The sequence below is a fragment of the Homo sapiens genome, chromosome 4, assembly GCF_000001405.40.
Source record: "Homo sapiens chromosome 4, GRCh38.p14 Primary Assembly".
Taxonomy (NCBI): Eukaryota; Metazoa; Chordata; class Mammalia; order Primates; family Hominidae; genus Homo; species Homo sapiens.
In genome coordinates, this window is record NC_000004.12 from 127729103 (window position 1) to 127745140 (window position 16038).

The 16038-nt window shown below is 38.0% G+C and overlaps 1 protein-coding gene across 3 annotated transcripts in view, besides 1 other annotated feature; it reads left to right on the forward strand.

Moving 5' to 3' along the window:
- Positions 1018-1175: a silencer, noted in NCBI's record as "fragment chr4:128651275-128651432 (GRCh37/hg19 assembly coordinates)". NCBI's record gives its function as "represses an EF-1alpha promoter that drives an FKBP-Casp9 reporter gene in an ReSE screen in K562 erythroleukemia cells {active_cell/tissue: K562}" and the evidence as "EXISTENCE:reporter gene assay evidence [ECO:0000049][PMID:32094911]".
- Positions 1298-16038, forward strand: part of SLC25A31 (solute carrier family 25 member 31) — a 43893-nt gene continuing 29152 nt past the window's right edge. For all 3 annotated transcript variants that reach the window (NM_001318467.2, NM_031291.4, XM_011532298.3), the window contains exons 1-2: positions 1298-1675; positions 15570-15697. In NM_001318467.2, the coding sequence (NP_001305396.1) occupies positions 1444-1675; positions 15570-15697 (360 nt within the window). In that variant the 5' untranslated portion in view covers positions 1298-1443. The remainder of the gene's footprint in view (positions 1676-15569; positions 15698-16038) is intronic.

A 16038-nucleotide genomic window follows, 5' to 3' on the forward strand; every position in this document is an offset into this window, starting at 1 on the left:
TTTTCTACTACATTTTTTATTTAAAAGTCGTACTTATGCTATCCTGTAATGGATTATTTTTATTTTAAATGAATTAAATATTTTTAAATCGTGTTTTAATTTCTGAGTGGTAAATGCCAATATACATAATAAAAACGGAAGCTTCATTGTGTCTTCAATAATTTTTTTTAAGAGACAGGGTCCTGCTCTGTTGCCCAGGCTGGAGCACAGTGGTGAGATAATAACTCACTGCAGCCTACAACTCCAGGGCTCAAGCATTTCTCCTGTCTTAGCCTCCTAAGTAGCTATACTTAGGACTACAGGCTTGTGCAGCCACGCCCAGCTATTTTTTTTTTTGTAAAGGAGGGGTCTCACTATGTTGCCCAGGCTGGACTTGGCCCAAAGTTTTGGGATTACTGGTACCTGGCCTTCAATAATTTTTCAGAGTGAAAAAGAGGGGTCCTGCAATCGAAAAGTTTGTGAACTACTCTTCTAGATAGGTCATTGGCCCTCAACCCTAGAATTAGAATTACTTCAAACACTAGAATTACCTGGAGAATTTAAATACTGATGCCAGGCCTCACTTCTAGACGTTCTGATTTAATGTGCAGGGCCTAATCCCAAGCATCAATTTGAAAAACAAAACAAAACACCCCTCATCCCCTTGAATGTGCAGTCTGGATTGAGAACCACTGCTCTGGATATTATCAATTTAAATACAATATGAAAAAGAGGAACATGTATTATGCTATGGGGGCACAATCATCAAAACGACACAGAAAGTGACTAGACAAAGGATCCCTGCTTAATTAAAGGAACAGATTAAAGCAATTTCCAAGGGAATTTGAAGCATTAACAGGCACATAGGGTGAAATTTAAGGGGAACATCACTTGAATCACACAACAGGTAAGACTGTCTTTTTTAAGATGCCAAGAAAGGTCAAAGGAACCATCTCTGGTCAAAAAAAACGTAACGGATTAAAGCGATTAAGAAAGTGAAGGGGGTAACACTAGGAACTAAAACTAAATTCTGTTAATCTCACACCGCTGGTTTACTGCTCTGGCCTAGTCTCAGCTACTAAATTTCTTCACACAGAACTGGCTCTCCTCGGCCCCTCCCCTCGCCTTTCCTGCTCAATGCTCACCGCCTCCGGACCCCTCCCTCATCAGAAAGCCCAGGCTCCGCTCGTAGAAGTGCGCAGGCGTCACCGCGCATCCAGGAGCCACGTGTCAGGAGTCACGTGTCAGGTGTCACGTGTCAGGCGTCACGTGGCTGGAGGCCGTTGGAGCGCCTGCGCAGCTTTTCCGCACGCGCCTCGCCGGCGCGCGGCTCTCTCAGCGTCCCAAGAGCCACTTTCTCGCCAGTACGATGCTGCAGCGGTTTTCCGGTTTTCCGCTTCCCTTCATCGTAGCTCCCGTACTCATTTTTAGCCACTGCTGCCGGTTTTTATATCCTTCTCCATCATGCATCGTGAGCCTGCGAAAAAGAAGGCAGAAAAGCGGCTGTTTGACGCCTCATCCTTCGGGAAGGACCTTCTGGCCGGCGGAGTCGCGGCAGCTGTGTCCAAGACAGCGGTGGCGCCCATCGAGCGGGTGAAGCTGCTGCTGCAGGTGCAGGCGTCGTCGAAGCAGATCAGCCCCGAGGCGCGGTACAAAGGCATGGTGGACTGCCTGGTGCGGATTCCTCGCGAGCAGGGTGCGTCAAGGCAGGCCGCCCCGACAGCCTCTCCCGGCGCCCTCGTCAGCTTCCCAGAGAAGAGGGTGGCTGGGAGGGGCATGATTGTGGGCCCCACAACCACAGCTACAGCTGTCGGTGATGAATTTGCTTCTTACCCTTCCAGAATTTAGTTTCTGAACCTAACAGGCTCTGCTTTTCCAGGGCCGCGTTGGTCCTGACCAAGTCCTGGTACCGGGGAGACCACTGCCTTCTCTTTCTCTAAATCTGCAGTGCGATTTACACCTTGGTGCACCTGTGCCAGGTCCAGAAGGAGAGTGGTTGACCTCCCAGGATTGAGGGAGATGCCATTAGGCACTCTGCTATAACTAGTGCTCTAAGTTGCTTAAATATTTGTTGGTATAATCACCCCACTATGCTCCAGCATGGGCGACAGAGGAGACCTTGAGTCAAAATCTATATGTATATTTGTTGAAATAGTATGTCTAAGAGAAGTACAAATATGGGAGCACTAGGGCTTACCAGTACTCTGAAACCTATTAGTGAAAAGAGGTTCTGCTTATTCTACTGAAGACCAAGGGGGTACTTCGTTCTGCCCAAAATTCAAGGGGGCCCTAAAAAAAAAAAACCCAACCCTCAGTCATCAAGATAAAAAGTATTTTAAGGCCAGGCGCGGTGGCTCACGCCTATAATCCTAGCACTTTGGAAGGCCGAGGCGGGCGGATCACTTGAGCTCGAGCTCAGGAGTTCTAGACAAGCCTGACTAACATGGCGAAACCCAGTCTATGCTAAATATACAAAAATTAGCCGGGCGTGGTGGCGCACGCCTGCAGTCCCAGCTACTTGCGGGACCCTGATGCGGGGATTTCAGGGAGCCCAGATCGCGCCACCGCACTCCAGCCTGGATGAAGGAGTGAGACCCTGTCTCAAAAAAACAAACAAAACTTTAGGGTCCTTCCGTTTCCGAAGCCCCTCTCTTTCAACTAGAGAGAGAGCTGTTCTCCTTTCTCTTTATTTTTTCTATTAAACCTCCACTCCTAAAAACAGGAAAAAAAAAAAACTTTAAACTATTTTAATGCAATCTTTTAAAAATCAAGTCATGCAAAAGAATTCATAACAAACACAATATATACAAGTTTAAAATAAAGATGGGATCAGTATTACCAGTTTTTCTTTTTGCATCAAGCACTGTCCTTATTTAAAATTTCATTTTTGTTCATCATTGATTTTTTCTATTAATATTGGAATGATTTAAAGAAATAACGAAAGTGCTTTGTGAACCATTGCTGCAAAATGGCTCCCAAGTTAGCTAAAGGGATAAGTCTATCAGATATTTTATATAATCCACCCATATAGTTGGATTCAATAGAAAAATCTGTATGATCTTTTAAAAAGAAATAGACATTTATTGTGTATTCTCAAGAAATGAAGTGGCTTCAACTCCAGTGCAGACCTTTCTTTTAGTCCTGTTCTAGGGCCAGATACTGTCCCATTTAAAAAAGCACCTTGTACCCTAGGAATGCTAGGGATGTGGTTACAACTCTTCCAGACCTGTGGCGTGGAGTATATGGGGTCAGGGGTAGAAACTTAATGCATCATCTGGGAGCTAAGCTCAGGTCTTTCATAGTTTGCCTCTCTCCACTCATTCATTTAATTAAAGCAAGCTTCTCATTTCCCCCAAGATTTTTTCAGGAAAAGCAAGGAACCTGTCTCTTCTTCGTTTATATTCTAAGACTTCTGAAGAGAAGTAGGGGCCTCTCTATTATTAGCTTTTCTGCTTCAAATATTTTGTCAGGTAAAATGAAGTATTCTGGTCAGATAGGGCTGACTAGTGCTAATTTATTTCATATTTTAAATGTTTTTCACAATATTTAAACCTAAACGTATTCAATATGGCCCTTGTAAGTTGATATCATTCTCAGATGTATCCTGGTCCTTGCTTTAAGTTCCAAGATGAGAGGATCATAAGTAGAACTTGAAGATGTTTTCTATTATATATAAAGCTTTATGAAGGTACCATGGTGTATCCTATGCTAAGAGATCAGTAATTTACAAGGATACTATTGCCATCTAGAGGCAATTTCGGAAACTTGTGGGGCAATTTTTTTTTATTTAGCACAAAGATAGAGGGGTATAATCCTACTTTACAATGGTATGAAAGGCAAGGGCCAGGAATGTTAAACGTCCTGCTGCTATATGCAGGCCAGTCATACATGATGAAGATTTATCCCGCAACCTGAATGACTTTTAGATCTCCCCTTCGATTTTCGTGTAGCAGTGAAACCTGTTTATGTTTCTCTAAGCCTAGAAATAACTTAACTCTGATTTACTTATAAACACATTGTCTGGGGCATGATTTTAGTATACACTGATTCCAGTAATGCAGCTACCATATAAGGAAGTAGAAAAAAGATCGTACTTTCTTCTGTTCAGAAGTTTACTAAGAGTTCATCATTGCAGAAACTCATGTCAGCAACTCTGCTTATAGTATTTGGTCATCATTTATACAGGTTGAGTATCCGAAAAGCTTGGGACCAAAAGTTGTGGAATTTTTAATTTTTTCAGATTTTAGAATATTCTCATTATATTTACACATGAGCATCCCTAATCTAAAATCCAAAATGCTCTAATAAGCATTTCCTTTGCCCATGATGTCAGTGCTCAAAAAGTTTCAGATTTGGAGAATTTTGGATTTTTGGATTAGTGATGCTCAACCTGTGTCATCTGTATTTGTAGCTATTGAATCTATGATGATTGTATGTATACTTGTACACATATTTATTTGACGTATTTCAAAATGTCAATATGCAGTTAATTACAACTGAATCGTTATAAGTAGAGGCAAGCTTGACTATTATATTTTTGGTATGGTCATGACCTACCAACTTCCTTATTTTAAAACATAAATTTCTTGCAATTTGCCTTCTCTTTCTTTTTTGAAAGTCAAGACACATGCACATCTCAGGTGTCCTGAAGATTGTTTTTATGTTTTCTCTAATTTTATTCACAACTTTTCCTTTCTTTAGGCCATGTGAAATGAGCTGGAGAAAGAGATATGAACACAGAATGCACAACTAGATGCTCTCTAGTTTCTTACCTTATCTCTACTTTCTTTCCATTACAAGAATAGATCTCTGCATTCTTGCCTTGAATATAGCTTTAAATATCACTTTGAGTGTTTCTGACACTTTTTATAAGCTTTTCTTGGCTTATGAAAGCTTCTGGATTTATCCTTATGTTGTTCTTAAAGATTTATTATATTCTTTAGTTGGTTTTATCACCTGCCAACTTTGTATGTGTACTTTTATTTAACACTGTTTAAACCTTTATTATGCAAATAATGCATAATTATTGTAGAAAATTAGAAAATATAAAGAAGCAAAAAGTAACATCACTGCTAAAGTCACCACAATTAACATTTTGGTTTTTCACTGAGCAAAATATACATATGTAAATATGTGTTTAATCAAAGGAACTGTCTTATTAGTATATTGTAAATGTAGCCTTTTAAAGAACTGATTTTCTGGGTGTGGTGGCTCATGCCTGTAATGCCAGCACTTTGGGAGGCAGAGGTGGGCAGATCACTTGAGGCCAGGAGTTCAAGACCAGCCTGGCCAACATGGTGAAACCCCGTCTCTACTAAAAATACAAAAATTAGCTGGGCATGGTGGCGCACGCCTATAGTCCCAGCTACCTGGGAAGCTGAAACACAAGAATCACTTGAACCTGGGAAGCACAGGCTTCAGTGAGCCAAGATCGTGCCACTACACTCCATCCTGGGTACAGAGGAAGACTGTCTCAAAAAAAAAAAAAAAAAAAAAAAAAAGATCCGTACAGTCTCATTTTTACAAGCCTATCCAAACTCTTCTCTTTTAGGAGTTCCGTGTCACGAGTTTATCAGCTTTCATCTAAGCTTTTCCCAAACCCATTTTTCTGAAGACTTAGAACAGTGAGGTTTTTTAATATCCTAGGGTCCATCTTGAAGATGCTATTTTGGGGTATGGGAAGAAAATATTAGGTATTTTATTTATATGTACTTTAAGTAAAATACAAAAATAAATTTTACTGATATTTAATATATAAATTGGCATTGTCCCCTATGCTTGGGCCCAATGTCAGTTACATATCACGGGACATTAAGGGATCCTGAAAAAAAGAGTGGGAGTTACACAAGGTAGAGGGAATGACAAGCACCCTTCCTCAATAATATATTATTGTTTATGTTTGCCCAATTAACTGGATTTATAGATTCTATTATCAGGTTTTAACTAAATCCTCAAAACATGGACAAAACTTTGAAAAAGATTCTGCCGTGAAAACCAAATCAAGGGTAACACCAATATCAAATGATGAACCACAAGAAAAAGCTGATGCCATTTACTCCAAGAAATGGCGTATTATTTCATCATTCACATGACATTCAGTGTAGAAACAATGACAGTCTAATTGGACCTGAGACAAGAAGACTATTTGAAATATAGATTCCTATATACTATTCTTAAAAATGAACTTCACCCTAACAGTGCCTTGAGATAATAGTAAATGGTGGTGTGAAAGCATCATAATTAGCAAGATGTTTGAAAATATTGTTTTTCATCTTTTAAATAAATGTTTAACTTTGCTCTAATATCATCTAACATTCAAGTTTCCCTAACAACCCTATCTAAATAGCCTTTTATTATTCCCAATCTTCATATATTGTTTTTTTGTTTACAGTTTTTTATTGCTAACAGACATAGTTATTTGCTACCTGTCTCCCTGGTCCCTCCCTCTTAAGATGTAAGCTCCATAAGATCAGGAACATTGTTCCTAGTGCTGTCCCCAGTAGGCACAAAATGTCTGCTGTGGAGGAGGTACCAAATAAAAGTTTTTAAATGAAAAATCTTTATCTCATTCTTTAATTTATATTTTGAGTATGTTTTACAGATGTACATAATATGGTAGTATAGTTGCAAAGGTATATAATTTATTAATGTATACTATTTGGAAGTCATGCAGACTTTTTTTTTAATTGATAGGCATATCATCAAAACATGTTGAACCTCCCCTGCAAAAAAAAAAAAAAAATGTTGGTTTAGACTGTATATCCAAACATGCCTAACATTCTTTTATTTTATTTATTTATTTATTTATTTATTTATTTTTTTTTTTGAGACGGAGTCTCGCTCTGTCGCCCAGGCTGGAGTGCAGTGGCGCGATCTCGGCTCACTGCAAGCTCCGTCTCCCGGGTTCACGCCATTCTCCTGCCTCAGCCTCCCGAGTAGCTGGGACTACAGGCGCCCGCTACCACGCCCGGCTAATTTTTTGTATTTTTAGTAGAGACGGGGTTTCACCTTGTTAGCCAGGATGGTCTCGATCTCCTGACCTCGTGATCCGCCCGCCTCGGCCTCCCAAAGTGCTGGGATTACAGGCGTGAATGCCTAACATTCTTGTTCTTGGCAAGGCCAGCCAATAAATGGCCCAGTAACTTTTTCCTGTCACTTTTATTTCAATTCTTATTTATTTGTTCAAAATTAGGTTCAGAGCAGGTTTTTCTCATCCTTCTTAAATTTTGAAGAAATTTTTTTCTTAGGAATTAGAAACTTAAACTTTTATTTATTTATTTTACTTTTAATGGAGAAAGAGGTCACCATCACTATATTTTTCTCTACCAATTTTGTGATATATATTAAGAAACCATCCATTTATTCTGTATGACTAGAGAGTCAAAACGTTCCTGCCATTGTATCACTTCTGCTTTAACCTTGTTTTATTCTAACCAAAAAATACTGTTTTATCCAGAATGGATTTTTATATAGAGGCAATAGAAGTGCAGTAACTCTAGACCTCGAGTCGAATGGACCTAGAACCAAGTCTCAGCCTTTCCTATATCTTGTAACTTTGAACAGTTTTTATTTAACCTTTCTCAGCCCCAGTTCCCTCAGTGGTATACTGGTATAATAACTATACCTATCTGATACGGTAGTTGTGAGGATTAAAGAAGATAATGCATGTAAAATATTCAACATGTGTCTACACCATAGTTAGTGCTCAAGTAATTGTTACTAATGTGTATGTGTGTGTTCCTGAATTTATAAACATGTACTCCAGATGTTCATTTGTAAATGAAATAATTTGGGATAAACTTGCATTATGCATAGAGTAGATTTTTGTAATCTATCCAAGGGAACTGGAACCTATGTAGTGCATAGCATATCTAAGTAGAGTTGAATTAAAACGCTGAAACCTGACTCCCAAAAATAGTTAGAAAATGCATTCAGAATTTTACTTAGGGGCTCCTCCTGTGTTATACTCTTAGCAGGGGCATTGGAGTTTCTAACAGCAAGGTACAGCAGAGGCAAAGAAGGAAATAAGAATAAGATGTTTTAGTGTGATCTATGGGAAAAGAGGTTAAAACAAGAGTTCTTAACCTGACACCTGGAGCTTCAGGGAATTCAAGAATTCTGTGACATCTATGTAAAACTATTTTATGTATGTGAGATTTTATATTTTTTCTGACCTAACCCATTAAGAATTGCCTGCTATACTACTTTAACAGTTTTCCTGTTATACTTCTAGGGATTTGTTTGTAAATTTTCATTGAGATATTGACATTTCTTTTGATGCAAATGGTTTTATTCGTGCAAATACAATTTTTCTCAAAGGAACACATTCTTCAGCCAACACTAGCAAACCTCTTTAGTCATAAATCTGACACTCTGTCATCATGGTCTCATGTTAGTTTCCAGATGTCTTTATCATTAAAACCTTCTGTTTATGTTCAGTACGCTAATCAAAGTTACAAACCTTTGTACTACTCTTTTTTTTTTTTTCTTTTAGATAGGGTCCTGCTCCATCGCCCAGGCTGGACTGCAGGGCACAATCGTGACTTAACTGCAGCCTGGAGTTTTGGTGTTCAAGAACTCCCACCTCAGCCTCCTCAGTAGCAGGGAGCACAGGCACATGCCACCATGGCAGCTAAGTTTGTTTGGGGTTTGTTTTTTTTAGAGATAGGGTCTCACTGTGTTACCCAGGCTGGTCTCAAACTTCTGGCCTCAAGCAGTCATCCATTTTCAGCCTTCCAAGCCATTGGGATTACAGGCATGAGCCACCATGCCTGGCTTGTGCTATTATGTATTATACTCATTTTTTATATACTCAGCAATATAATCATAATTACAGAATTATAACTAATAACTCCTAGTCTGAAACCCATAATATCTCATACCAGTCAGCTGTATTAGCCATTTCCAAAGTGGCCATTAATAGTTAAAAAGCCATGTGTAAAATAGCCTTCAAAAACCAGCTTATTAGTTTTTTCCTTTAAACAGCTGATTTCAATTTTCTTTTTAGGAGAGGGTCTCACTCTGTTCCCCAGGCTGGAGTGTGGTGGCACCATCACAGCTCACTGCAGCCTTGGCCTCCCAGAGTCAAGCGATTCCCACTCCGGATTCAAGCAATTCTCATTCCTCAGCCTCCTGAGTAGCTGAGACTACAGACGTGCACCACCACACCCAGCTAATTTTTTGTATTTCAGTAGAGATGGGCTTCCACCATGTTGCCCAGGCTGGTCTCAAATTAAGCTCAGGCAATCTACCTGGCTCAGCCTCCCAAAGTGCTAGGATTATAGATGTGAGCCACCACGCCTGGCCCAAATTGTTTAATTTCCATATAATTTGTGCTTTTGAGAGATCTTTTTGATATTGACTTCTGTTTTTATTCTGTTGTGGTCAGAGTATGGTTGATATAATTTCTATTTTTTTGTATTTATGGAGACTTGCTTTATGGCTTAGCATGTGGTCAATCTTGGAGTATGTTCCATGTGTAGAAGAGAAGAATGTAATTCTCTGGTTGTTGGGTGGAGTATTCTATAGATGTCTATTAGGTTCGAATGGTCAAGTGTGGAATTTAAGTCTAGAATTTCTATGTTCATTTTCTGCCTTGATGGTCTAAAGCTGTTGGTGGGGTGTTGAAGTCCCCCACTCTTATTGTGTGACTGGCTAAGTCTTTTTGTAAGTGTAGAAGTACTTGTTTTATAAATCTGGGTGGTCCAAATGTTGGGTATGTATATATTTAGGATAGTTAAATCTTCTTGTTGAATTGAACCCTTTTTCATTATGTGATGCACATCTTTGTCCTTTTTATTTTTGCTGGTTTAAACTCTGTTATATCTCATATAAGAATAATGACCCCTGCTCTTTTTTGTTTTTTATTTGCATGATCCTTTTCCAACCCTTTACTTTGAGCCTGTGGGTGTCATTACATATGAGATTGGTCTCTTAAAGACAGCAGACAGATGCATCTTGTTTTTTATCCAACTTGTCACTCTGTCTTTTAAACGGGGTGGTTAGAGGTTTACACTGAAGGTTAATATTTGATATATGAGGTTTTGATCATATTGTGAATTTGTTAGCTGGTTTCTTCATATTTTATATTGTGTGGTTGCTTTGTAGGATCTCTTGGCTATGTTAACAGTGTTTTTGTGGTAGCAGGTATTTTTCTTTCATTTCCATGTGTAGAGCTCCCTTAAGGATTGCTTGTCACCTGGTCTGGTGGTAACTAAATTCTCTTAGCACTTGCTTGCCTGGAAAAGATTTTATCTCTTCTTCATGTATAAAATTTAGTTTGGTGTGATATGAAATTCTTGGTTTGAATTTTTCTTTAAGAATGCTGAAAATAGGCCCCCAATCTCTCCTGGCTTGTAGTGTTTCTGCTGAGAAGGCTACTGTTAGCTTGATGGGTTTCTCTTTGTACATGATCTGACCTTTTCCTTTAGCTCTCTTTAAGATTTTTTCTTTAGTGTTGACCTTGGACATTCTGGTGACTATATGCCTTGGTGATTGATGTTCATTTTGTACAGTATCTCACAGGTGTTCTCTGGATTTCTTGTATCTGGACAAAGATTAGGGAAATTTTCTTGAATTATTTCCTCAAATATGTTTTTTGGGTTGTTTACTTTTTCTGTTTCAGGAATGCCAGTAACTTGTAGGTTTGGCTGCTTTACATAATCTTATATTTCTCAAAGACTTTGTTCATTTATTAAAATTCTTTTTTCTGTATTTTTGTCTAACTGGGTTAAAGGACCAGTCTTCAAGCTCTGCATTTCTTTCTTCTGCTTGGTCCAGTCAATTGATAATTTTTTTAATTGTATTTTGAAATTTCTTAAGTAAGCTTTTCAATTCCATAAGATCTCATTGATTTCTTTTGAAGATGTTTATCTCTTCTTTCATTTCCCAGATTACTCTAGAAGTTTGTGTCTATTTTCAACCTTCTTTTAGATCTTATTGAGCTTCCTTGCAATTCATGCTTTGAATTCTTAGTCATTTCTGAGTTTCCATTTTGGCTAGGAACCATTGCTTGACCGCTAGTGTGATCCTTTGGTGTTGTTATTACATTCACATTTTTTGTGGTGCCTGATTTCTTGCCCTATTCCTTCTCAACTGGAGACACTAGTGCTTCCAATTTTTGTAGTCATTTTAATGCAGGTAGGATTTTTTTTCTTTTTCTATGTAACATTATTGGGGTTTTTTCTTTTCTCTTTCCCCCTCCTCCCTTGGGGGTGTAACTGTAGACAGTGTTGGGTAGGGGCTTTTGACTTTGCTCTATAACCCTTGGGGGTGTAACTGTAGACAATGTTGGACAGGGGCTTTTGACTTTGCTTCTATAGCCCTATGCATGTATGTCAGCAGGTTTTATATTGGGCTATGGGATCCAACCTACAGGCCAGTAGATAGCATGTACAGCTGAGTCAACTGAGGCAAACACAGCTACATATGTACTTGACCCCTATTTACTGGGAGAAAGGATGCGCCAGGCTGATGATTCAGGAGAGCAGATGGTCAGAATGCCTGGAAATCTGCCTGGTTGTGGAGCAGAGACAGCCCCACTTCACCACAATGTCTGCACAGGAAGGATGGGGCAGCTCAGGCTGCTGATCATGGCAAGTAGGTACTCTGCCTGCCTGAGTGTGAAGCTGAGAAGGCCTCCTCCACACAGATCTCTGCAAAGGAAGGGTGGGGTGACTCAGGCTGCCAATGCAGGTGAGCAGGTTCTTTGAATGCCTGGAGATCTGCCTGTGTATAAAGCAGAGAGGGCCCCACTGCACCACAATCTCTGCACAGAAAGGGTAGGGTGGCTCAGGCTGCTCATCTAGGTGAGTGGGTGCTCCAAATGCCTGGATATCTCTTCAGTTTCTTTCATCAGTTTTTTAAACTTTTTGGCGTACAGATCTTTCACCTCTTTGGTTAAATTTATTCCTAATGTTTCGTGTATGCTATTGTGAATGATACTGTTTTATTACTTTTTCAGGTAGTTCATTGTTAGTATATAGAAATGTGATTGATTTTTCTGTGTTGATTTTATATCCTAAAACTTTACTGAATTATTAGTCTAATAGTTTGTTGGCATATTTAGGGTTTTCTGTATGTAAGATCATGTCATCTGCAAACAGAGACAGTTTAACTTCTTTTTAATTTGGATACTTTTCTTTTTCCTAATCACTCTGGCTAGAACTTAAGGTACTATATTGAATAAAAGTGCAAGAGTGGATCCCTTTGTCTTATTCCTGATCTCAGAGGAAAGTTTTCAACTTTTCTCCACTGAGTATGTTATCTGTGAGCTTGTCACATATGGCCTTTATTATGTTGTAGTACATTGCTTCTATACCTAATTTGTTGAGAGTTTTTATTACATAAAGATAAATTCTGTCAAATGCTTCTTCAGCATTTTTTGAGATGCTCATATGATTTTTGTCCTTCATTCTGTTAATGCGGTATATGACATTTACCCATTTGTGCATGTTGAGCCATCCTTGCATCCCAGGCATAAATCCCACTTGATTGTGGTGAATGATCCTTTTATCATTATATTGAATTCAATTTGGTAGTATTTTGCTGAGGATTTTTGCATGTTTGTTCATTGGAATATTGGCCTGCAATTTTCTTTTCTTGTAGTATTTTGGTTGGCTTTGGTACCGGGGTAATGTTGGCCTTGTAAAATGAATTTAGTAGAATTCAGCTGTGAAATCATCAGATCCTGGGCTTTTCTTTATTGTTAAGTTTCTGATTACTGATTCAATCATTGTTGGTCTGTTCAGAAATTTATTCATGATTCAGACTTGGTAGATTATATGTTTCTAGAAATTTATCAATTTCATATATGTTATTTAATTTCTTGGTATATAATTGTTCATAGTAATCTCTTACAACTCTTTGTATTACTGTATGTTAGTGGTAATGTCTTTTCTTTCACTTATAATTTTACTTACTTGACTCTCCTCTCTTTTTTTCTTAAGTCTAGCTAGAGGTTTGTCAATTTTGTTTATCTTCTTCTAATAAAATACCAACCAGCACTGGATCTCAAAAAAATAAACTCTTAGTTTGACTGATATTTTTCTATTATTTTTGTAGTCTCTATTTCATTTATTTCTGCCATTGAAACCAGCTCAATTGGCCCATGGAACTGATGTTTATTGTTTCTCATCAATAAACCAAGAAATTGACCTCTCAGTCTTAAAACTTGAGAAACTCGTATTTGTCATATCTGAGTTCCTTTCTCAGGAAACCAACCTTTGGGCCTCCCAGATAGTATCGAGGAACTGAAACTTACCAGATCACCACATCTGGACATTGAGACACTAACCCTTCGCCTGTCATGACTGCCTGATTGATTACCTGTTGACCAAGTCCTTCTTCTTATTCCTCCCTAATTCTTGCTTTCCCACACATAGTTACATTTCTTTTCTGCTATATAAACTCCTAATTTTAGTGCATGAAAGAGATGGATTTGAGATTGATCTGTTCTCCTCAGACACAGCACCCAAAACAGCCTTCTTCCCTGGCAGTACTCATCGTCTCTGTGATTGGTTTTCTGTGCAATAAGCAGCAGAACCTAGACTAAACCCTTGGCATTTTGGTAACACTAATTTTTATTATCTCTCTCCTTCTTCTAACTTTGGACTTAGTTTGTTCTTTCTCTAGCTCCTTGTGGTATCAAATTAGGTTATTTGAGATCTTTCTTCTTTATACATATGCATTTATTGCTATAAACTTCTCTCTTAACTGCTTTTGATGCATCTGTGAGTGTTGGTATGTTGTGTTTCCATTTTATCCCAAGATTTAATTTTCCTCTTCATTTCTTCTTTGACCCATTGGTTGTTAAGAGCATGTTGTTTAATTTCCATGTATTTGTGAACTTTTTCATTATCTTCCTGTTCAAAAATTGTTACAGCAGTTTCTTTTTTTAATAAAGCTTCATCTATTATAATTTTAGAACTTTTCTGTGATTTGTTTCTCCAGAAATCCAAGCCTAGAGTAGAGTTTTGGAGTCAGACAGAAAGCCTGATTTTAAGTCTTGGTTGGCTAGTAATCCTCAGAGAGTTTTTCTTTTTTCTTTTCTTTTTTTTTTTTTTTTTGAAGACAGGTTCTTATTCTGTCACGCATGCTGGAATGAGGTTGTGTGATCATAGCTCACTGCAGCCTCTACGTCCTCAGCTCAAGAAATCCTCCTACTTCAGCCTCCTGAGTAGTTGGAACTACAGGCACATGCCACGGCACACGGCTAATTTATTTTTTTAATTTTTTGTAGAGATGCGGTCTCACAATGTTGCCCAGGCTGGTCTTGAGTTCTTGAGCTCAAGCAGTCCTCCCAATTTGGCTTCCCAAAGTGCTGGAATTACAGGCGTGAGCCACTGCACCTAGCCTAGTTTTTAAACTTTTTAAAGTTTCACTTTGTACATACTTAAAATGGGTGCTGTTGGAGAACCTACATAATAAGCATAATTGATTACATGATATACATGTAAATCCTTTGCCAGTGACTGGTTCATATAGTGAATGCTCAGTAAGTAGTAGTTGTTACCATCACATGTTGAATACTCTAGTAAAGATGGAGTCAGCTATGAGTACTGAGAAGATTATTTCTTTGCCATTAAATATGCTTCTGAATTGTCTTTGTGTAATCACTTTATATTCAGCCTTGGGTTCACCAAGATTATTTTTTCCCACAGGGTTAATGTTACTTATTTAACAAATAATTATCTTTCCCTCTATGTACTTATCTAACTTTGTTCAATTCTGAGCACTAGCGCAGTTAACTGAGATTATTTTCTTTTGAATCTTTATTTTTAAAAGACTGATTCTGGGTATTCTCCGAACTGGTGCTAGAGGTATCCTGTTCAGAACAGCAAGGCCAAAGCATTTTACAATTTGTAATCGAGTGAAAACAACCAAGGCTATTGCAGAGCTAGCCTGCCATGCTCTAGGGCAGCTCTATATCATAAGGATAGTTCTGAATTTTAAGGGGTACACAATGAATTATATGGGTTGGTCAATCCCTGGAGAATTCAGGTAGGGAGATTACTGGCGTCAAAGATTTCTTCCCATCTCTCCCTCAGTTCTCTAGAAACTGCCTGGAATTGAAATGGATCCCTTTTCTGGATAAATTTTAACACCCATTCAAAATGGTTCCAGATCATAAAGATAAGGGCACTTTAGATTCTTTTATCCTGTTCTCATTCTCATAAGTATGTGTACAAATCAGTAAGTGGATTTATTCTATCATACTCATTTGTAACAGCCTTACCACCATAGGTGTTATACATCAGGATTTGGGAATAAGCCTTAGGGTTACTAGCCTCTGAGAAATACAACTGAGTTCTGTTTATCTACTAGTAAAGAGCCCTGTATTCAACTGATAACACTTTCCGTTTTAGGTATTCAAAGCTCTTTATTTGAAATTTTTTAAAAAATGGAATGGGGTTCAATAGAGTTAACACTGCCTTTTTATTTTTCAATGGAGACACACATTTTAGAAAACTTTATTTTTCTCATAAGAAAGAGTATGTTTTAGATAGTTCATATAGCTAAATTTGCTAAAACTATGGCAATTGTTTAATAATACAATGTAGGTTTATGTATTTATATGTTTCCCTCTGTAGGTTTCTTCAGTTTTTGGCGTGGCAATTTGGCAAATGTTATTCGGTATTTTCCAACACAAGCTCTAAACTTTGCTTTTAAGGACAAATACAAGCAGCTATTCATGTCTGGAGTTAATAAAGAAAAACAGGTAATTATATTTTTTTTTTACTTTTTTCTTCCAATATAGAAATTTTCCATCCAATATAAATTTCCCATCCAATGTAAATATATTTCACTATCTCTAAAATTTTCTTTAAAATGGTTAGATTTGTCTTAACTGTGATGTTTTATTTGGGGAGGATGTGCTCAAGTAGTGGGAAAAAATAGTAAGTGTTTATTGTTACAAAAATCATAAAGGATCTTTTGTCTCAAGGCAGTATTTTTTGAATAAATATTACACTTAATGTAATTTCATCTTATCACTGTTTTGCGCTGGGGAAACATGGCATTTTGTCTGCTTATTTTAAGCGCAGAAAGAAATCAACAAGT